Source organism: Homo sapiens, chromosome 14 (assembly GCF_000001405.40).
Source record: "Homo sapiens chromosome 14, GRCh38.p14 Primary Assembly".
Lineage (NCBI taxonomy): Eukaryota > Metazoa > Chordata > Mammalia > Primates > Hominidae > Homo > Homo sapiens.
The window spans coordinates 74,903,773-74,926,270 of NC_000014.9; the positions used below are offsets into that span (position 1 = coordinate 74,903,773).

Sequence of the window (22,498 nt, forward strand, 5' to 3'; positions counted from 1 at the left end):
ACTGAGGTGGTACAAGTCCCCAGCACTGTTGCACTGAAATTATTGAAAGCCACTCAAGGTCCTGTTGCTTATTTTGTGAAATCAGAAATCCCTTATGTGGAACTTAACACTCATAATTTGACAGAAGGTAGAACCCTGACTGCCAGCCGGGAAAGTGTTGCCAAAAAGAGTCAACCTCTGTAAAAATATTTGAAGAGATTTATTCTGAGCCAAGTGTGAGTGACTGATGGCCTGTGATACAACTCTTAGGAGATCCTGAGAACATGTGTCCAGGGTCGTCTGGCTACAACTTAGTTTTATACATTTAATACATTTTAGGGAGACATAAGATACCAGTCAGTACATGTAAGATGTACAGTGGTTTGGTCTGGAGAGGCAGGACAGCTCAAGACCTGGGGATGTTGTCATAGGCAGAATCAAAGATTTTCTGATTGGCAATTGGTTGAAAGAGTTATTATCTAAAGACCTGGAATCAATAGAAAGGAATGTCTGGGTTACAGTAAGGGGTTGTGGAGACCAAGGTTTTATGCAGATGAAGCCTCCAGCCAGCAGGCTTCAGAGAAAATAGATTGTAAATGCTTCTCATCAGACTTAAGGAGCCTGTTTTAACAGTAATTCCAAAAGGGAGGGGAGTATAATGAGGAATGGCTGGCTCCCTCTTCCCACCATGGCCCGAACTAGCGTTTCAGGTTAACTTTGGAATACCCTTGACTGAGACGAGGGGTCCATACAGATGGTTGGGGGGCTTAGGATGTTTTTTGTTTTGTTTCCATAAAGCATCATAGTCTCTTAGTGCCCCACCTTCCTTGAGCCTGTCAAGCCATACTCTAGAATAGAGAATTTGGGGTCACCATCTTTGTGAAGCCCTTTCAAAACACCAGTAGACTTGCATTTTTTGTGTGGGCTTACATTATTTCAGTGATGGATTTGGGAGGAGTGGGGGCATCTCATTTCATTTGGATTTGATAGCCTTGTGGACCAAGATGCTCAAGGTCAATACACATGAACAGGTGAGGGTTGATGACCTAGGAGCAGTGGTCAGTGAGCGTGAGTGTACAGGGTGGGTAGCTAACCTAGACTGCAGGTGGCAGGTGTGATGGAGTCCAGGCTTAAACACAGCCTTGTCTTTTCCAGAGTCCCTGTCTGCTGAGCTCTTGCAGTGAGGCCATCCCTCTGTGAAGGTCTGTCACAGGAGGGAAGTGGGTCCCAGAGAGTAGAACTAGAGCTCTAGTAGATAGAAAAACAAATTAGGTTGAATGAAAGGAAGAACAGGATTTGGTGTTAGAAGCTTTAATTTATCTATCTGGTAAACCTGCAAAATAGGCATTATTTACCCCATTTTATCGAAAGGAGGTCGACTGTAAGAGCTGGGACCCACAGTATTCTAAACTCAGGGCCCAACAAAGTGTCAGATGTGTAGCTTTGGGTGGATGAAGCACAGAAGTTCCAGAAGGGACTTGTGCTTCATGAAGCGGTGGTTGGAAGTGGTCCAGCCTGACTTAGGGAGAGTAGCAGAAGGAACACTAACTTGCAACTCTGGCTAGGTTGTGTCCTTAACCTTTTTGAGCTTCAGTTTTCTCAGGAGCTACCGTCTGTTGCAAGGGGTCACTGTGAGGATGAAACTGGTATTCCCCCAGGCACCATGAGCCTCTTCCAAGGCTTCTTCATCCTCTTCCCCACAGAACCTGGTCCTCCCCGACCCCACCCCTTCCCCTGAGGCCCACATGGCATGCTGCTCACCACCAGCCCTGCGTCCTACTTCCTGGCAGCCCCAAGCTCGCTCTTGACTTCACTCTGGAGCTTCTACAGGGGAGCCTTCCAACCTGCCCCAATGAGCCGTGGTCATTGCATGGAAGAAGCGAGAACACCGTAGGCCAGAGCAGGCTTTATTGGGGCCGTGTAAACCCCAGGGAGAGGCAGGACGTGGACCACAGAGAGTCATGTACAGGCTGCGCTTTCACTTGTCTTCTCTGTCTCAGTCTCCTGAAGAGCCCGAGGAAGTCAAGTCTCCCCACCATGAGTGAGGGGTCTGGTCTGACAGTTGGGCCTTCAGAGCCAGGCACGTGGACCGTGTCAGAAGCGCCACCTGGTGGTGACTGGGATGCTGGCAGGGAGGAGCTGAGGGCAAAACTCTAGTGGAAATTTCCCAGGTCGGTCCCACGCCCCGGTGACAGGGTGAACCCTGAGAGGAGCCCCCAAACTGGAGGCAATTGTCTTTGAGGTAACCACTCACCCCAGCTTTTCAGAGACCAGAGGCAAGACATTTCTGGCTAAGAGCCATGGATAGTTGTTCCATGCGTTTTGTGGTTTCTTATCCCAAAAGGGCATGAAGTCACAGTAGGCAGTGACATGGTAAACAGCCAGGGCCTGAGAGGGAGTCCTGATGGGCACACCTTGTCTAAACTGCTTTGGCCTGGAAGCTGAATTGCTGTCCTCTTGCACCCCTGGGGCAGGCTGCCCCTCTTCCCCCACACAGGCCCACTGGGGAGGAGGACTCTTGATTCTGGTTTCAGACTTGCTCTAAGGGGCAGACCCATGCATTCCTTCCTCCCCCCATTACTCTTATTTTCTTCCCCTCCCTTTTGCTCTCCCAAGTCTGAAATCACAAGATAGGGGGCATGGTCAGGAATCGGGGGTGGGGGGGTGGGGGTGGGGGTCATCCTGTCCCCTACCTCATCCCTCCCTGCACAACAGATGGCATCCCTGCTTCTGGGCCTCCCCAGCTGCACGAACAGCTTCTGGTGGAAGAGGCCTACTCGCTGTGTGACTAAGAGGACTAGCCAGGACAGTCTGGTTTGGGTCCACTGAGCCAGTGGATCAGTGTCCTGAGATGAGTCTCCAGAGATGTCCTGAGTGGGGCACAACATGGCAGTGAGTGAGTCACAGAACCTCACAGTAGGGTGCAGCAGGTGGTCAACAGCTCAGCGCCAGTGCCACAGAAGGCAACCTTTAACATGGTGAGTCCACATGCTCAACGGGTCTGTTGACTGATGGGTAGATGGTTCAAGCTGCTTAGCAGGGCAAGCCTTGACTGCCCCCACCTCCAGCTTTTCCAGGAGCTGGCCCTTCCTGGGTGGTGGCCATAATTCTGAGGCCCCAGTGGGAGCCCAGCAGGACAGACAGTGCCCTCCATTCCTCGCCCAAAGCCCGCTGATAGAGGGCCAGCCCTGGGTTGGGTGTCAGGCAAGGAGGAGAGGCGATCCAGACCAGGCCAGCTGCTTCCGTCACCCGCTCTGCCCTCTTACCCCACCAGCTTGCTCCATTGGATGGTACTGAAAAAGGGATGGGACTTGAGTTTGCTGACACCACCTTCTCCCATGCCCAGGCGCCGGGTAGGCTCGAACTGCAGCAGCTGCAGAGAGAGGCCCAGTCAGCTGGGCCACTCCAGCTGTGGAGGCATGGGGTGACCTCCAGGGACTCCAACCACTATGGCCTCTAGGGGGCCTGCTCCCTGGCAGCCTGGCCCACAGAACCCCCATTTTACCCTGGGAACATTGGTGGTGGTTGGCCACCAACATATAGAAATGTGTTGCCCCTACTGCCCTCTGCACCCACATCAGACACTGAGCACGAAGCACACGTGGTTCAGACACAGTTCTGTGCCCCTCCCAGCACCTTCCTCAGGCTAGGCAGCTGCTTCCTCTGGCCGGGCTACACCTCACCTCAGTCAGCAGAGAGGCCGCTGGGCGACTGAGCCACTCGGGCAGCTGGAGCTGGGTGTGGGCCTGGATTCCTGAAGGGTGGCTCTGGGACAGTGCCTGGGAGGACACAGGGAAGGGCCTCTGAGGAGGCAACCCCAGGACCGTCTACACTCCAGTGGCAGCCAGGATTTTTTTTCCCCATGTCACAGCCCATGAGGAGGATGACAATAATGATAGTTGCTACAGCCAGACACAGTGCCTGATGGCTAAGCAGTGCCTTTATGTTATCCACGAAAGGCAAGAAACAGGCCCAGAGAGGTAAAGGGACTTGTGCTGAGTTCAGGGTTTGAACCTAGGTCTCTTGGCTCCAAGCTTGCTAGAAGCAACTATCTTGGGTTGCAATCAGGGCAGGCACTCTTGGGAATAGTGATGGAACTTGTCTCCTTATTTTAAAAATCCACACGGGCTGTTCATTTGGCAGCAGGCCATGGCATGCTACCATCGGGGCCAAGGCAGCGGCGTGGCAATAAAAGAAAATAGGACCTCTCCACACCCCAGAAAGGCACAGCTTTGAGGAGCAGAGGGTCTGTCTGGAGGGAAGTATGAGCTTCCAGGAACCCCCAGGAGGAAGGCCAAGAGCTCTGGGCTGGAGAGGTGGGAGGAGACAGGAAAAGAGAGAGCCACTCTGGGGGAAATTGCAGCCAGGACTTTCGGGACCCCGTGCCATGGGACGAAAGCAGGAGGGAGCCTGGATGGACTGGTCAGCTCTGGACTTCAGTTCACGCTGCATCCATTTCGGCTATTTCCTGCTCAAATGCAATTTGGCCTCCCCCTTGCTGCCTACATAACTGGCCTCAGTTGCAGTGTTCAGCTCATGAGGGGAGGACAGAAGGCAGAGCCATCAACTGTTCCCAAGAGTGCCTGCTCTGATTGCAACCTGCAAACACAGGTTCCCGGAGTGTTTGCAGGGGGATCTTTTGAGCTCTTGGCTGACCCAGGCTGGACAGGGCAGCTGCTTGCCTGGGTGAAAGAGCCCCTCTCTCCCATCCTCCAGCTAAGGTCTGGGGGTGACAGCCAACGAGGTCATGGGTGGGAGGAGTGAACAGCGGGCTCAGGATGATTGAACAGCCTTCCAGGGAAGAAGGGCTGTGTCACATTCCGCGCTTCCTCCAAATCTGACACCACCTGGGCCCAGGCTCTCTGGCAGAAACCTTCCCTGACCATCCCACTCTACTCGTATTCATAGAAGTTGACAGTCTCCTTAGCTATAGCCAACTAATGTGTTGGGAGTGCTAAGTGTGTCCCTGGCTTCGGGGGCAGTTGTGCTGGTAGGACAGCCAGGCAGTCTCTGCCCAGACTGGCTGGATGGACTAAGCCTGGCCCATCCCACACTCAGTGGCACCCACCAGGGCACTACACCCAGCCCAGCCACTCACCATTCCCGTCAGCAGTTCATACAGTAGAGACCCAAAGCTCCACCAGTCACAGGCTTCCGTCAGCTCGGAAATCCCACCCACCTCTGTGGGAACAAGAACACAGGTGTCCCAGCCTCACCTAAGAGGGCCTCTTCCATTCTCCTCAGCCTACCCAGACACCACCCACCCGCTCTGTCATTCTCAGACTCTGGGCACAACCCACACAAAGGCACCCAGGTGCTAAGGCCCACCCTGGCCTCCCCCCTTCTTGCCTGGGGCGCTGTAGAGATTGTCCACGGCCTCCCCGCAGCACTGGGGCTCCACCTCTGACCACTGGCCAAAATATGTGAGCCGGATGTGACCTCCAGTGTGTGGGAGGAAAAAGGAGGGGACAGATTGAGGACAGCTGATACAGGGGAGGGGGTTGCAGGGCTTCCCCCAACAGTCATGCGGTAGGAGCCAATGGCCTTGCTGGGCAGAAACTCGGCAGGGGCACAGCACCCTCCACAGAGGCACAGCACTCTGAGGCCCACAGAGCCCACAGGGTACTCCCAGGAGCCTCGGCCAACAGACTCCAGCCTAGGCCCCCTGAAAGGCTGGCTGGGGCCAGGGAGGAGCAGACAACCTTGGAGGTCCCCTCGACTTTGGGGATCTCTCGTCCTCTGCCTGGACGCTTTGGGGGCCACCCCACTGAGGGGTGAGGAGGGCACCTACCTGCCTGGTCCAGGAGCAGGTTCCCGGGGTGGAGGTCCCGGCACAGCACCCCCTGCTCGTGCAGCGCCTCCAGCGCTACCAGCATCTCTGCCGCCCACTGCTTCACCTGCTCCTCTCTCACACTCCAGGTGGCCCTGCCACAGCCCCGGCCGGCCCCATCTGCTGACAGGCAGCTCTGATCCATGCCTCGGCCACAGCCCCCTAGCACCGGGCCGGCCCCCTCAGGAACCCAAGTGAGCCCCCGAGGGGGCCCAGCGTCTGAGTTCTGGCCAGCCCTCCTAGCTTGAAGGTGCAGGTGGCCACCTGGGGCCTTTGGAAGGTCCGAGGAGCCAGAGGTGCTGGTCCTGGCTGTGGGTTCACCTTCAGCCTCCCTCTGGGGTCTGGTGGATGGGGCCTCCCCAGCTAGGAGAAGGTTCGGAGAAGTCCTAGGAGGCTCCAGGGCGATTCTGTCCTGGCCAGGGGCATGGCCTGAGGGAAGCCTCGCTGGGGTCAGGAGGTTGAGGTGGGGGTTGAGCTGAGCCTTCATCCTCTCCTGGGTAGAGCCAGAGCTGAGCCCAGAATGTCGGGAGTGCGCCTGGGAGAGCAGGTGGGACCAGAGAGTGCCTCCTGGGCCATGCAGAGGGAGCGGTGAGCGTGGGGACAGGGAGAAAAAGAGTATGGATGCCAGGGCCGGCTCCCACTCCTGCCTCCCTTCTGTCTTGGGCGCAGACTTTCCGCCTCTGGGTGTCCTGGCCTAGTTCAGCCCCTCACCTCTGCTCCCTCCCACCCCTCAGCTTAGAATGCCCTCTGCCCTCCTCTTGACCCAACTAAAGTGGGCCCAGCCTTACAAACTGGCACACCACCGAGAGATGTCCAGCACTATCAGTGTCTGTGGTTTGGGTGGTGGGTTCACTAGTGTGAACACTGTTTTTAGGGAGACCGATATAAAGAAATTTAAAGAAAAGTCAGGCACACACTTATGATGACTATATGTCATGACCCCAGATGTGCACCTCACTTTAAAAAGTCATCAATACAACCATCAGTATCTGCTACATGGCCCAGTTCCTGTCCTCATAACTTCAGTCACCACCACCCTGTCTGGCCACTCCCAAGGGATCGGCACAACCCGGAAAAATGAAAAGAGCCAACGCTGGAGGAAACAGCGACAGAGGAGACAGCTGTGATTCTCACGCCCACCCACGATGTGGACATCCACCCCAGGATGTCCCCTGCCCCCTTGGTACCACACAGGGGCCCACAACAGCCTGACTGGCCTCCAGAAAGGCCGGGTCCCCTGGTCTGTGCTGTACATCTGGTGCAAGCTCCGCCCCTCCCCAGGGCTCAGCTTTTTTTTTTTTTTTTTTTGAGGCGGAGTCTTGCTCTGCTGCCCAGGCTAGAGTGCAGTGGCGTGATCTTGGCTCACTGCAACCTCCACCTCCCGGGTTCAAGCCATTCTCCTGCCTCCACCTCCCAAGTAGCTGGGATTACAGGCACGTGCAAGCACACCTGGCTAGTTTTTGTATTTTTAGTAGAGACAGGGTTTCACTATGTTGGCCAGGCTGGTCTTGAACTCCTGACCTCAGTTGATCCGCCTGCCTCGGCCTCCCAAAGTGCTGGGATTACAGGCGTGAGCCACCACGCCCTGCCAGGGCTCCGCATTTTAAGGGTTGACGACATACCCCAAAGGCCTGGGGAGCTGACAGGGGGCCCCAGGCCTGCTCACCTTGCACATGCTCCAGGTGCAGGAAGATGGAGTCCTCGCTCACAAAGTACCTGAGCAGCTTCGTCATGTAGGGGACTCCGTGTGGGATGATGGTCAGCCGCTCCCTGCTCACCATGTGGCACCTGGGTAGGCTCTGGGAGCAGCAGGGCAGGCAGATCAGCCGGGGACAGGCCAGAGACTGCTGCTGTTAGGGGACCTCCTAGCCCTGGCTTCAGGGGCACCCGAATGAGGGTGGAGCAACTGCCTCCCTCAGTTCCTGACCTGTCCTTACCCCCACTGCCCCTGTAGAATCTGGGTCCTCCACCCTCTAGCCAAAGAGGGGGCAGTGTGTGTGCATGTGTGTTTGTGTGTATGTGTATGTGTATGTGTATGTGTGTGTGTGCATGCATGTGTGTCCATCTGGAAAGTGGGGCATGTTCAGGCAGAACAACCAGCTTTTGTGGGAGGGAGTGCAGGCTTCAAATGCAGGTTCTGGGTAGGAGTTTCCAAGAGCCCTGAGAAAGATCCAAGGGGAATGCAGAGTGGCAGGGGCAGGGTGGCACCTGCCTTCACCACAAAGGTCCCTCCGGTTGCCGGGTCCTGGACCAGCTGCACCTGCCAAAGTCCAAGAGGCACTGGTTAAGGCAGGTACTAGCTCCTGGGGCTCCGTGACCCCAGCCTGACCCCCTCCCAGGTTCCTCCACTGAGGCTGACTCACTCCAGTGGCAGGGCAGGGAGGGCGGGCTTTGGTGGCACTCCTGAAGCAGACATCGATCCTATCCTGCTCACCCACCCCTGCTAGACCTGTGGTCTCAGATGCTGCCTCCTCCAGGAAGCCTTCCCAAGATTACAGGGGCTGGGGTCCCTAATCTGCCTCCAATGCTCTCTTAGTTCACCCTTAGGAGAGCCTCTTCACACTGTCTAATCTGTCTCCCACTGGACTGTGAGCTCAGTATTCCCGGAGCCCTGCACAGTGCAGGGATGTAGTAGGTGCTAGACACATGCACTGTGAGCAGCCCGGGCCTTGGCTCACTGTGTGCGTGGTGGGCATGCGAGCAGAATGCCCTGCCCTCTCCCTGCCCACGCTGGGCCAGGCCTCATGCCACCTGACGGGAGGGCTGAGAAGCCCTGTTCCACCTGGACCCCAGAGATCAGCTGAGAAGCCCTGTTCCACCTGGACCCCAGAGATCAACTGAGAAGCCCTGTTCCAACTGGACCTCCAGAGATCAACCCCTCACCCAAGGCCTTAGCTAGAGCCCCAACATCCTGCAGGGTCTGAGGTGTCATGGCTGGAAGGGACCTCAGAGCCAGTCACTTCCTCTGATCTCTTGTTTTACAACTGAGGAAGCCGCAGCTCTGAGGTGACTCCAGGTCTCCCCAGCGCAGCCATGTTGTGTGGGCTTGGCACGCTGCGTTCAGGCCTTTTTCCCACTCCACTCCACCCCCTTCATTTACACACACCCCCATGACACAAGTTTATCTATGTGAAAAACCTGCACATGTACTCCTGACTGCAAATAAAAATTTAAAATAAATAAGTAAAGTCCGCTTGAGAGGCCGTCTTTGGAGAGCAGCCTCTCCTTCTTGTGTTGGTTTCCATTAGAGGCAGACGCTGTCAATCGCAAGGTCAGGGCCATGTTTGGAGTTGGGCCCTTGACTCATCTGCATGGTGGGCAGGGGCGGGCCCCAGCATAGGAGCGGGCACATGGGTACGTCGAGGGCGGGAAGGCAGAGGATTCAGCCCAGGTGAGGGCATGTGGAGGCAAGGCCAGCACCCTGGGGTTGTGACTCCTTGGCTGTTGGCCTGCCCTGCGGACATTCCCCAGGGAGGCTGTGGCCAGCCATGGTCGGGGTGGGAACTGGGCCCTGAGGCCAGGCTGCTGGGCAGTGAGGAAGGCCACAGCTTGGGATCAGGGTAGGGGAAGGGGCACTGGGCTTCGATCCTGGGCAAATTGAATTGATTTTCTCATCTACCAACCAGGAATTCCAAATGCCTACCTTCCCTACATCTCTGGATTGTTGAAGCCATTCTGAAAGCCCTTGGTGAGGGCCAGGTGTGGTGGCTTATGCCTGTAATCCCTGTAATTTGGGAGGCCAAGGCGGGTGGATCACCTGAGGTCAGGAGTTCAAGACCAGCCTGGCCAACATGGTGAAACCTCGTCTCTACTAAAAATACAAAAATTAGCTGGGCATAGTGGTGCCCGCCTGTAATCCCAGCTACCTGGGAAGCTGAAGTAGGATAATCACTTGAACTCAGGAGGCAGAGTTGCAGTGAGCCTAGATCAAGCCACTGCACTCTAGTCTGGGCAACAGAGACAGACTCCATCTCAAAAACAAAACAAAACAACAAAAAACAAAAAACCAAGAAAGCCCTTGGTGAGTGGAAAGGCTGTGAGAATGTCAGTGATCACATCTGCCAAGTCACATGGCCTCTCTGAACCTTGCTCTTTTTAAGTACAAAACGGGGTCATAGCAGCACTTCCTTCAGGGGGTCCTGAAGAGGATTCTGTTAAAGCAGGCAATTCAGGCAGAGCAGCAGCCTGCACCTGCCGCAGAACACACCCTTGATAACCTGTCGTGATTATTACCAGTGTCATCCGAGGGGAAGCCCACCCTGGCTGTAAAGTGGTTACTCTGTGCTAAGCACTTTACATAGGTTGTTTAATTTTATCCCCACAATCCTGCCAAAATTCAGGCCTGAGCCTCAGAGAGGTTATGTTGCCTACTGTCCCACTGCTAAAAAGTGGTCAAGTCAGGACCTGAACCCAGACAGGCTGATCCCGGAGCCCTGCAGACTTTACTGGAACTGGGGGCACAACCAGGTGACCCTGGCAATGGCCTTCCCTCCTGAGCCTGTTTCTCCATCATCAGTGAAAGGAAGGCAGTGGACTAGATGAGAGCGCCCAGGACCCTTTTCTCAGCAGGAGCGAGGTGTCCTCTCCAACCACCAGAGGTCTCTCCTCCAACAGCCAGAGACCGAGTCCAGCCTGGGCTTGGCTCCCTGACCAAACTTGTGCAATGTTAGAAAAAGCAAGGAAGAAAACTCTGGAGTCATTTAGGAGAACAGAGTTTCCCACAAATCCTGACACCCCAGATAATTCCCCACTGTCCCTTGCCAAGTGGGATTCCCCACCACCTGGTCCTGGGCAAGGGCCTGTAACTGACAGAGTCCAAAAAAACTAGCGAAGGAGGGAAGGCTGAGGAGGCCAGAAATAAACCTTGATCCATACACTGAAAGATTTCTGTTAAAAACATATTAAAACCAACCTCAGTATTCAGAAATAATTAGACTAAAACATTAACAGTGATTATCTTGGAGTTCGGCAGGATTCAGGGGATTTTCTTTTTCTTCTCCTTTTTCTTTCATTATATTTCAAAAGGGCAGCAAAGCAGCAGGCATTTTCCCATTCATCCAACCAAACAAGAAACTCCTTTTACTCAGTGGTTTGGAGGATGGAGGACTGTCTAGTGCCTTGACTTCTTTGTTTATTATTTATTTTTTTGAGACGGAGTTTCACTGTTGTTGCCCAGGCTGGAGTGCAATGGTGTGATCTCAGCTCACTGCAATCTCTGCCTCCCAAGTTCAAGCGATTCTCCTGCCTCAGCCTCCCAAGTAGTTGGGATTCCAGGCATGTGCCACCACACCCAGCTAATTTTGTATTTTCAGTAGAGACGGGGTTTCACCATGTTGGTCAGGCTGGTCTTGAACTCCTGACCTCAGGTGATCCACCCACCTTGGCTCCCCAAAGTGTTGGGATTATGGGTGTGAGCCGCTGCGCCCAGCCCCGCTGACTTCTTTGAACCTCAGTTTAATTCTCTGTAGGACAAGTATTAAAATGCAGCACTGTCCAATTGAACTTCTTATCATGATGGCAGGATTATATGTCTGCACTGTCCAATATGGAAGCCAGTAGCCACATGGGGCCATTGAGCACTTGAAATGTGACTGGTGCAACTGAGACACAGATGACTTCATTTTAATGAATATGAATGCACAGAGGCTTATGTGCCTAGTGACTACTGTGTTGAACAGCACCCTATAAGGCTTCGTTCCCCCATGGTGACTGTGAGGATTTAATGCCACAGCTCTGTAAATGAGAAGGTTCCATACAACTGTCGGGTGAGCCTTCCATTTGGGAAGATGGAAGGCAGTTCTGAGTGCTTTCTCTCACCTTTTAAAAAAGAGCAATTGTTTTAAATAAAGAGACCCACTGAATTCTTGGGACAGAGGGACAATTAAAGCTTTGGTGAAACACGGTAAACCTTTTCTTTAAAGATGCACAAAGTATCAAAATCCCAGGAGGACTCTCCCATGGAACAAACAAGCCTAAAGGTTTCAAACAAGTTCTTAAACTCAAAGGTCCACAGGGGCCAGGCATGTGAGCAAATAGGCAGGGTGGAGGCGCAGAAAGGAGGGCTGGTGCCCCGTCTAAGGCAGGCATCTCCTCCTCCACTCCCTGCTGCCACAGGGGAATGGGAGGCCAGCGTTTCCAGATCTGATTTTTTCAAGAGAAGCAGGAAATCTGGACTTTTATAAGAATCTGCACATTTTCAAATGTTGGTAACAACTAAAAAAACCCAAAAAACAAACAACAAAAAAAACACCCCTGTGTTTAAGCCAAATAAAAGAAGAAGTGACTTGGATGACCTTCTTTTTCTTCCTCCACCCTGTCTCAGAGCCTGGCTCCTGCACGAGGCTCAGCAAATACCCGGTGATGTCTCCCTGGCCCCCAGGCTCTGAGGCCAGGCCCTCGGGTATTCTGGCTGCTTGCCAAGTCCCGACCCACCCACCTCACTGCTCCCTGCCACCATCTCTTCAGCCCTTAGTTATCCTAACAGCCGGACACGTTAGGGGTCACTCAAGCATCATCCCGAGCAAGCCCTTTGCTTCCTCCCTGGGCCTGAGGGTTGCTGCTGGCTGGCACTGCCCACTTGCCCAGATCTGTCTGGGCACAGCTGTGGAATGGAACAAGGGTGACAGTATATCCAAGTCTGGCTGCAGGGACCCAGGCCCAGGGGCAGTAACACCTTTCCTAATTTGAGGAAAGTGATGCTCCTGGCTTGGGCATGACACAGGGAAAGGAAGTAGGATCTCAGGAGGGAGGTGAAGTCCTTAAGTTGAGTACCCAAGACAGGATAAAAAAGAAAAAAAAGAAGGGTAGTCCTGAAATAGAATGCGGCGGGCCACTGGCTCACGCCTGTAATCCCAAGTGCTTTGGGAGGCCTAAACGGAGGTGGAGGATCACCTGAGGCAAGGAGTTCGAGACCAGCCTGGGCAACACAGCGAGATCTCTCTACAAAAAATAGAAGACAATAGCAGGGCTTGAGACTGTGGTCCCAGCTACTCAGGAGGCTGAGGTGCGAGGATTGCTTGAGCCTGGTAGGTCGAGGCTGCAGTGAGCCGAGATCACGCCACTGCACTCCAGCCTGAGCTACAGAGCGAGACCCTGTGTCAAGAAAAAAAAAAAATGGTTGGGCTTGGCTTTAATTTGTGCTTTCCATCTGCAGGGGCCTCGAAACACTGGATTCCTAAACCACTTTCCTGAGGCTAAACAAGTTTGGGGAATTCTGTGTCACAGTGTACATCTGCACCTAAACACTCTAAGAACTCCGATCATTAAGAAACAAAGCCATATAACTTCAACTCGCTGTTTTCCTATCATACTCAGCTCAGAACCCCTCTCACCACAACACCTATGGTTCAGCGGGATCGTACCGGGAGGCACGGTGTCAGTCACCTCCCGGCCAGTCCCTGGGAACGGCTGTGCTCAGCCAAGGTTGGGTCGTGGCCACTGACACTCAAGCAGTGGGGAGGGGACCGTGGCAGATGGAAGCTGGCAGGGCCTGCGCTGACAGTCTGGGACCTGCCCCAGGGACCCAGGAGAAGCAGCTGGAGTAAGGCCCGGGAGCAGAAGCCTGCGTGCCTCCCAGCTCACTCCTGTCACTTGTATTTAGAGCCATCAAGCACGTACTCAGTGTCACAGCATGTGCCAGGTCTTTCCCCAAAATTGTTTTGTTTTACCTCCCAGATCACCCCATTGGGGGAGAATTCTCATCTCACTTTCCAGAGGAAGAAACCACAGCTCAGAGAGCAGGGGGCTTGCCCGTGGCCACCCGGGGTGGTGCCCAGCGCGGGGCCTTCCCTCAGGCAGCATGTCATCCTCTTGCCTGTGGGAAGTACAGGACTGTCTCCTTTTCTCTGTGGGCCCCCAGATCTACCAAAATCACCCAGTGAGTATGTTAAATAACAGATTCTTGGGCATCTGTATTTTTAGGAAGCTCTCCATTTAGCCAGCTTGGTAAAGAACTTCTTGGGTGACTATTCCAGGGTTCAGGGGAAGAGGGGAACCTCATACTGGCTGGACTCTGATTTGACCTCATTGTCTGTCCTTCTAATCAGAAGCACTCTAACAATGAGTGCCCCGAGTAAGGGTTGGGACGTCGCCTCCTATCTTCTTGTCTGCCCTGAATAAGGCAAAGCATGCGAGATAGCATTGGGACAGGGTAAAGTTACAGTTAGGTCAGGAGAGGAAAAAAAGGGCAGACTTGCCAAGGCCCTGGGCAAGGACGGGCCAGAACGGGCCCTCTCTGGACAGGTTTCTGGAGTTGAGCACGTCCCAGCCGCAGGAAGTCCCCAGCTGTGCTCGGTAGAGCGTCTTGGCTGCAGCCCTGGGGTTCAGGGTGAGTGTGGTGGGGGTGCTGTGGGAAGCGGGAAGTGGGAGTGAGCAGGGCCTCGAGGACTGGCAGGGTGCCCTGGGCATAGCTCCTCGCTCCTCCTGCAGTTTCTGTCCCAACTCTCCCAAGGAGCAGGTTTTCTGGATCTGAGCTGCAGGGCTGTGGAAAGGGCCTGTCTGCCTCTTCTTTTTATATTTTATTTTATTTTATTTTATATTTTATTTTATTTGAGATGGGGTCTTGCTATGTTGCCCTGGTTGGCCTCTAACTCCTGGGCTCAAGCAGTCCTCTTGCCTTGGCCTGGTGCTTGGCCCAAAGTGCTGGGATTCCAGGTGTGAGCCACTGTGGCTGGCCAATCAGCCTCTTCCCGTTCCCTGCATTTTCCTCCCCAGGACCCAGGACCAAAGTCATGCGTGTTAGGGATGGGGGAGAGGTGGGAACTGCTGGAAACAACTGCACTCGCACTCCCCACTGACCCCTGCCCACCTCCTCTGGAGGAGTGGGGGCCACTGCTACAGACCTGCTTTCAGCATATCATGTCTCTCTCCCCACCGCCACCCCAAATTGCATACACTGTCTCCCTCCTGCAAGGCGAGTGTCCACTCACTCACCTTCTCGATGACCCCGACCACCCTGCAGCCCCTCAGCTGCTCCACGGCAGAGCTCAGCGTGCGAATGGGCCGGAGCCTCAGGCTGCTGAAACCCTGCAGAGGAGGGAGACAGGCCACACACAGCCTCAGGGCCGAGCCCTCCTTGGCCATGGCCTTCTCACCAGGCATCAGGCAGGGGCTTCTGGATGCAAGGAGAACAGCTGGGAGGGCAGGGGTATAGGCAGGCCCCACCCCACAGTGGCAGGCTGGGTGGAAAAGCTGGCCTTTACCGATAGGCACCCATACTGGTCCAGGGTGGTCAGGCCGACCTCTCTGCTGAGCCCGTCCAAGGCCCATGAAGTTCTCTGGGCTTCAGAAGCCCCCTCTCAAAAGCCCCATCTAGGCCAGGCGCAGTGGCTCACGCCTGTAATCCCAACACTTTGGGAGGCCGAGGCGGGCAGATCACTTGAGGTCAGGAGTTTGAGATCAGCCTGGCCAACATGGTGAAACCCTATCTCTACTAAAATACAAAAATTAGCCGAGCATGGTGGCGCCTGCCTGTAACTCCAGCTACTTGGGAGGCTGAGGCAGGAGAATCGCTTGAACCTGGGAGGCGGAGGTTGCAGTGAGCCAAGATCACGCCACTGCACTCCAGCCTGGGTGACAAAGCGAGACTCCATCTCAAAAGATGCAGATGCTCCCAAGGTGGGGATAGGGAAGTAACCTGGGAACGTGTGAGTCTCAGGGAACGTGCCTTGAAGACCAAGCACCTACTTTGGGGAAAGGCAGCCGTACAGGATGCAGTGAGCCAAGGAGGGCTGCGTGAGTACGCGCAACCGTGGGGTAAGAAGCGTGCGTGCATTTTCCACCCTCACTGAACACTTACTGGTTTAGAGAAAGCCATGTGGGGACTGTGTGTGTGCACATACATGCACACAGATATGTGTGTGTGCACACAAGGGTGTCGGGGTCTGCTCCAAATTGCATGCCGGTTCACAAGAGACAGAATCAGGAGGCTCTGAGTGTGGACACACATAAGCGTGTAAATTGAACGGTGTGCAAGGCTGGCAGATGTCTATGTGCACACATGGCAAGTGCTCTGTGAGGGAGGCAGACGACTGGAGATGACTCAGTGAGTTGTTTGAAAATGAATGAACCATGAGGCGTGGGAGAGAGAGGAAGCCAGGAGGAAAAGAAGATGGGCCGCCCTGGCACACTCCAGCCCAAATAATGACTTCCACTGCCGGCCTCTGCCCTGCAGCCCAGGGCGGGCCTGTGGGTGTCGGGGCCTCCGCAGTCTCCCCTCAGAGCCCTCCTCCCGCTCAGGCCTTTGGGTGGGGGGGGTCTCCTCACCGCGCTGGGGCTGGCTCCACTGCTCAGCGGCCGCTGCAGGTGGCAGTTGAAGATCTCCTCTGCCCGCCGCAGGTATTTGGTAATTTTCAGCTTCACAGCCTCACGTCGCTCCTTGTTGGGGTCAACTGTGGGAGACAAGAGTCACCAGGGTCCCCAGCCATGGCCTCGGAGGGCTGGAGTTCCAGCTCCCATTGCCTGCCCTCTACCCTCCCAAGGAGTGAGCTCCTGTTTCTAAGGCTGGTTCGGCAGATTCTGCCCCCAGATTGCTTCATGAGCCCCTCCTCTGGGGTGGGGGGCCAGCCAGGAAGGAGGAGGAAGGGAGCTGGCAGGAGGAGGTTAGGAACCAGGGTCACTCCTCAGCAGACAGCACTTCACCATTAGCACCCACCGCCTTGCTGGCGGCTGTCACACCCTGGGAAGGGACAGGGTGGGGATTTCCCCATCCATTTTTTCAGAGGAGGGGATAGAAGATTCCAGAGAGCATTGCTTCTTCCATCTCTGATGCCCAGTGTAAAGAAGGCTAGGGTGGGGACCAGGATCGGGGGATAAAGGAATTTGCTGGACAGACTGGAAGCCCAGGCTTGAAGGGTCTCTTCAGCCAGAGGGCAGGAAGGGCCCAGTGCCCACCTCAAGGCCTGGCCACCAGGGCCCACAGGCGTCTCAAAATGGCCTCAGCACCAGCCTCTCCCCTGACATGGAAGTTCCTCATGCTGCCCTGGAGGGACCTCCCCTCTCGCCTCTAGGCCTTGAATGTTCTTTCTGGAACTCTAGCCAGTTCTTCAGCTGGATAACGCACCTACCATTCTCCAGTGCTCAGATTAGAGATCTAACATCTAGAAAATGCTCTAGGCCGGCCCAGTCTGACCTCAGTTTCCCTCTTTCCTCTCTTCACTTCCCCACTAATCCTCTTCCTACCTGAGACTATAATGGTCCAAATCAACTCATCAGTCTCCCCCCACTAGAATGCAAACTCCCAGAGGGCAGGAGCCCAGCCCAGCTCCAGGAACAGTCAGGTGTAGTGGGCCAAGTACACAGCCTGTGAAGTGAAACCCCAATTGTGCCATTTGATAGCTGTGGAGCCTTGAGCAAGCTACTGAACTGCCCCATGCCTCAGCTTCCTCATCTGGAACATGAGAATGTAAAAAATGGTTCCTGTGTGCTTGGAACAACATACAACAACATATATAGTAATTTCTATTACTGTGACACTCAAATGAATGAATCTACATGAAGCCCTTAGAATAGTACCTGGCATGTAGAAACTGCTTAATAAGTGCCAGCTATCATTGTCTTTTATGGAGGCCCTGCAGGCCAGCATAGTGCCGTGCTCACTCAGTACAAATGGACAGGGGACAAGACAGATGGGTGACAGGAAGAGCCCTGCACTGGCCCTTCCCCACCCACCCCAGCCCTGCCCAGCCCCGGTCCTCACCGTGTATGCCACGGAGCAGCACGTCCACGCCATTCTGATAGTGGTTGAAGGCCGCCTCATAGTCCTCACTAACATCGCGCTCCAGGGCCAGCCGGATCTGCGTGGCCGCATCCACCAGATAGTCACGTTTTGTCATGTCAGGCACTCCCAGAGCCACCCTGTTGCGAATCTGCTCCAGGTACACGTGAGCTTGGGACCGTGCTCGTGAGCAAGGCTCAGGCTCCAGGCCGGGGCTGGGCAGGCACTCACAGGCCACCAGGCTCATGGCTGCCCTGCAGCTGGGACCTGGAATGGGCAAATGCATTAGGGAGGACCTAGCTGGTAGCAACACCCCTATCCGCACCCCAGTTTCCTCCACTGAATGTCAGGGAGACTCATATTCACCTCCAAAGACTGAAGGGGTCAGAGCTAAAGTGGGTAAGGTCTTTTCATGGATCCAGGTCCTTCCTAAGTGGTGGTAATGATAGAATCATAACCAGCTCAGGATTCTGTTTTCTTTTCTTTTTTTTTTTTTTTTTTGAGTCAGAGTCTCGCTATGTCACCCAGGCTGGATTGCAGTGGTGCGATCTCGGCTCACTGCAACCTCCACTTCCCAGGTTCAAGCAATTCTCCTGCCTCAGCATCCCAAGTAGCTGGGATTACAGGCACTTGCCTACCACACCTGGCTATGTTTTGTATTTGTAGTAGAGACGGGGTTTTACCATGTTGGCCAGGCTGGTCTTGAACTCCTGACCTCAAGTGATCCGTCTGCCTCGGCCTCCCACAGTGCTGGGATTATAGACGTGAGCCACCGCGCAGGCCTGGGGCTCTGTTTTCCTTTCCAGTCAAATTCAGTTCAGCAAACATTTCTGGAGCATCTGGTACTGTGTTGAGCTCTGGAGAGAGCTGAGGATATCTGTGATCCACAGCCACCTTCACAGGGCCTCCGTAGAGCAAGCTTGGTATCCAGTACGCATTCAGCACATGGAGGCCACACACGCTGGGCTCAAATGCTGTTCCTCATGCTGTTCCCTCCACCCTGCCTGTTGTCTCCTCCCTGCTCCTCCTGTGGGAATCTCATTTACCCTTTGGGGTTTAGCACTTCTCCGTGGACCGGATGGATTGCCCCTGCTGTGTTTTGTTCCCTTGGTCCTGAGGTCAGTGTGGTCAGCGAGTGAGGACCCCTCCTGGAGCCAGCAGAGAGCAGAGCACAGAGCTGGGCTGTAAGAACTGTTGGCAGACGGAATGACTGAGTGGCAGACTCGGTGCCACGTTGGATGGGGGGTAGAAGAGGGCAGGGTGACCCAGCCCCAGGGAGGGTCGCTCTGTCCTCCTGGCTTTACTTTTGAGAAGGTCATGTGGCCTCCAAGGACCTGACAGCAGCTTCTTCCTGAGCAATGTGTGACCCAGGCGGCCAAAGGGATGACAGCCGTGGCTGCGGGAAGGGAAGGGGCTCAGAGAGAGGCCCACAAAGCTACCCCGCCTTTGCTCTCCCAGGTCCCACTGGGAATGGGCAGGACCCGGAACTTCCAACCCCAGGTCATTTGGAGAGAAAGAGGAGAGAGCAGGATGGGCGGTGGGGCGGGGAGGGAGACCCACAGCCTCAGCCGGCGGGGAGCTGAATCCCGGCCAGGATGCGGCCAGGAGGCAGAGGGAGGCCGCACCATCCCTGCTCGGCCAAGCCCAGGGGAACTTGAGGCTCTGAGGCCTTGCTCTGGGGGGTGCCCGGGTAGGACTGGCTTCAGGGTCCACCCCGCCGGGCAGGGTCCTGCCGGGCAGAGCCGCCGGCCCCGCCTGGACACAGAAAGCGGCGCGTGCAACCCACGGGGCCCCAGCCGCAAGGTGCACGGTCCCAGGGTGGAGGGACGGCCGAGGGGGCCCCTCGCCTGGGAGGGTGGAGAAGGGACCGGACAAAACACCGTACCTGCCCGAGCTGGGAGCCGGGTCCGCGGGCCAGGCCTCCCCCTCACGTACCGGCCCTTCACGCCAGAGCGCGCCGCGGGCCGCTGCTTTCCGGCATCCAGCGTGCGGGGCCAGCCGGTGCAGCGCGGCCATTGGCTGCGGATGAGCTCATACTTGAGCCTTAGAATAAACCACCAATCACCGCCCGGCTCGGCTCCTGCCGGCCTTAAAGCCGCAAGGTCTGCACGGCTGGGCTGTGAGGGGCGGGGGGCGGTTTAGAGAGGGGAGGGTGGGATGGGATGTGGGGTGGGTGGGGAGAGCAGGTCTAGAATCATCCAGGGATGCGGAAGGGGCTGCTTCAGAAATCTAGACGTGCCACTTCTAGGACTTTTCTCATTCATTGCTTCATTCATTTATTCAACGATTCAATGCTATGTATTGAGAGTCTCCCATGCATGAGGAGCTGGATGTTGAGATACAGCCGTGAACTAGACAGCGCTGTTTACATCCGCATGGGGCTTACAGTCTAGTGAGGGCTACCGAGAGTAAAGAACCCAGCAATAGAAGGCTTTTGATATCAGAACCGAGCTTAAAATTCAAGACATAGGCCGGGTGCGGTGGCTCATGCCTGTAATCTCTGCATTATGGAAGGCTGAGGCGGGAGGATCATTTGAACCTAGGAGTTCAAGACCAGCCTGGGCAACATAGGTAGACCCAATCTCTATAAAAATTACAAAATTTAGCTGGGCATGGTGGCGTGTGCCTGTGGTCCCAGTTACTCAGGAGGCTGAGGTGGGAGGATGGAGTGAGCTCGGGAGGTTGAGGCTGCAGCGAGCCGAGATCGTGTCACTGCACTCCAGCCTGGGTGATGGGGCAACAGATCACAGGCAACCCTGTGACACAGATCTCACCTGCAGGTTCAGTGCTGACTGGCTTCACACTGTCCCCCGGCTGCACTTGCTCTACCTTAGACACCCTTTCATACTTTCTCCCTCTGACTCCCACCCGTCCCCCTATCCTCACTCTCAGCCAGCACTGTTGCTTCATCCTTCCCTTGACAGCAGTGGCGCACAGACTCCCACAGGCTTGCTCTTGGCCCGCGGGCGGGGCTGTGCCCACACTCTGCTTCCAACCTTTTTCCACAGGTGACTGTCTGTGCCCCATCGAAGGCCACCCTTCCAGGTGGGCATCAGTCCCGTGCCATCACCTACTCAGCGACACCACTCCAGCGATTCTCCCGTCTCTCCCACTAGATAATTCCCACCTGATACAAACATAATGCTTGTTTCTCCCCTCTTAAAAGCAAAACAAGAAAACAAACCAAAATACACTCTAGGCCTCACTTCTTTACCTACCACCCTAGGTTTGCAGTACGGCTAATTTCCTTTTTTTTTTTTTTTTTTTTTTTTTTTTTAGTAGAGATGGGGTTTCACCATATTGCCCAGGCTGGTCTCAAACTCTGGAGCTCAGGTGATCCACCCACCTTAGCCTCCCAAAGTGTTGAGATTACAAACGTGAGCCATGACATCTGGCCCAAAAGTAAACTTTTAAAACACATCCTATAGAATGGGAGAAAATACTTGGAAATCATATATCTGATAAGGGTCTAGTATCTAGAATATATAAAGGACTCTTAAATTCAACAATAAAAAGACATCCCATTTAAAAATGGGCAAGTAATTTGAATAGACATTTCTCCAAAGAAGATATGCAAATGCATGCCATAAGTACATGAGAAGATGCTCTACATCATTAGTCATTAGAGAAATACAAATTAAAATCACAAGGAGACACCACTTCTCACCCACTGGGATGACCACAACGAAAAAGACAATAATAAGTGTTGACAAGGATCTGGAGAAATTTGCATATTGCTGATGAGAATGTAAAAGGAACAGCTGCTTTGGAAAACAATTTGCCAGTTCCTCAAAAAGTTAAAATAGATTTACCATATAACGCAGCAATCTACTTCTAGGTGTATACTTAAGAGTATTGAACACATATGTTCACATAAAAACTTGCACATGAATGTTGATAGCAGCATTATTCATAATAGCCAAAAAGTGGCAACACCCAAGGTCCATCACCTGATGCATGCATAAAATGTGATGTATCCGTATAATGGAATATTATTCAGCCATAAAAAAGAGTGGAGTGCTGATACATGCTACAACATAGATGAACCTTGAAAACAGTATACTAAGTGAAAGAAGCCAGTCACAAAAGGACACATATTGTATACTTCCATTTATAGGAAGTTTCCAGAGACAGAAAGTTCATGTCAGGGAGGGGACAGTGTGTATGGGGTTTCTTTTTGGGGTCATCAAATGTTCTAGAATTAGACAGTGGTAAGAGTTGTACAACCTAGTGAATAATACTAAGGACCACTAAATTATATATTTTAAAAAGGTAAATTTTGGCCGGGCACGGTGGCTCACGCCTGTAATCCCAGCACTTTGGGAGGTTGACACGGGTGGATCACCTGAAATCTTGGGAGCTGGAGACCAGCCTGACCAACATGGAGAAATCCCATCTCTACCAAAAATACAAAAAAATTAGCTGGGTATGGTGGTGCATGCCTATAATCCCAGCTACTCAGGAGGCTGAGGCAGGATAATTGCTTGAACTCAGAAGGCGGAGGCTGCAGTGAGCCAAGATCGTGCCATTGCACTCCAGCCTGGGCAACAAGAGCGAAACTCCGTCTCAAACACAAACAAACAAACAAAAAAATAAAATAAAATCGTAAATTTTATGGTATGTGAATTATATCTCAATAAAAAATTATTACAATAAAAAAGAAAGAAAAAACAATGCCTGAACTCTTGATCCTGCCCTGAAACCTTTTCCACCTGAAGCCTTTCCCATCCCCATCCTGATGATCCGCCCATCCTGTTGTTGCTCAGGCCAAACATTTTGGAACCATCCTGATTTCTCTTATTTTTTCGCACAGCCCCTTGCCCCTCTCCATTATTTTTCACCAACCTCACTCACTCCACTGCAACTCCTGGGACACACCAGGCAGCTCTCACCCCAGGGGCTTTGCCCAGCAGCTGCCTTCTGGCTGAAATTGTCTGCCACCACGTATTTGTCTGGTTTTCCCTGCCCCTGGCTTT

At 54.0% G+C, this 22,498-nt stretch overlaps 1 protein-coding gene across 30 annotated transcripts, besides 4 other annotated features; it reads right to left on the minus strand.

Moving 5' to 3' along the window:
* Positions 179–19,488, minus strand: RPS6KL1 (ribosomal protein S6 kinase like 1). Of its 30 annotated transcripts, none has more exons than NR_163404.1 (14): positions 19,408–19,488; positions 18,206–18,713; positions 17,505–17,789; positions 16,073–16,197; positions 14,741–14,833; positions 8,022–8,069; positions 7,476–7,608; positions 5,771–6,376; positions 5,329–5,418; positions 5,078–5,160; positions 3,663–3,758; positions 3,246–3,352; positions 2,673–2,849; positions 179–2,380 (listed from the first exon to the last, which is right to left on the minus strand). NR_163404.1 is itself a non-coding variant. In XM_011537206.4 (14 exons), the coding sequence occupies exons 3-14, from the start codon at positions 17,767–17,769 to the stop codon at positions 1,110–1,112; spliced, it is 1,812 nt and encodes a 603-aa protein (XP_011535508.1). In that variant the 5' UTR covers positions 17,770–17,789; positions 18,238–18,713; positions 19,408–19,488; the 3' UTR covers positions 179–1,109. The 30 variants fall into 30 exon arrangements, 27 of the variants coding, with proteins under 27 accessions (XP_011535508.1, XP_016877169.1, XP_011535509.1 ...); NR_163405.1 differs by having other exon boundaries at positions 3,658–3,758; XM_011537206.4 differs by lacking the exon at positions 2,673–2,849 and adding an exon at positions 12,701–12,748 and having other exon boundaries at positions 179–1,227; positions 18,238–18,713.
* Positions 18,241–19,012: an enhancer, noted in NCBI's record as "H3K27ac-H3K4me1 hESC enhancer chr14:75388716-75389487 (GRCh37/hg19 assembly coordinates)". NCBI's record gives its function as "activates a minimal SCP1, AML or CMV promoter by ChIP-STARR-seq in naive and primed H9 embryonic stem cells {active_cell/tissue: H9 hESC(naive and primed)}" and the evidence as "EXISTENCE:reporter gene assay evidence [ECO:0000049][PMID:30033119]".
* Positions 19,013–19,783: an enhancer, noted in NCBI's record as "H3K27ac-H3K4me1 hESC enhancer chr14:75389488-75390258 (GRCh37/hg19 assembly coordinates)". NCBI's record gives its function as "activates a minimal SCP1, AML or CMV promoter by ChIP-STARR-seq in primed H9 embryonic stem cells {active_cell/tissue: H9 hESC(primed)}" and the evidence as "EXISTENCE:reporter gene assay evidence [ECO:0000049][PMID:30033119]".
* Positions 19,154–19,563: a silencer, noted in NCBI's record as "silent region_5934". NCBI's record gives its function as "represses an Ori minimal core promoter by ATAC-STARR-seq in GM12878 lymphoblastoid cells {active_cell/tissue: GM12878}" and the evidence as "EXISTENCE:reporter gene assay evidence [ECO:0000049][PMID:35858748]".
* Positions 19,654–19,713: a silencer, noted in NCBI's record as "silent region_5935". NCBI's record gives its function as "represses an Ori minimal core promoter by ATAC-STARR-seq in GM12878 lymphoblastoid cells {active_cell/tissue: GM12878}" and the evidence as "EXISTENCE:reporter gene assay evidence [ECO:0000049][PMID:35858748]".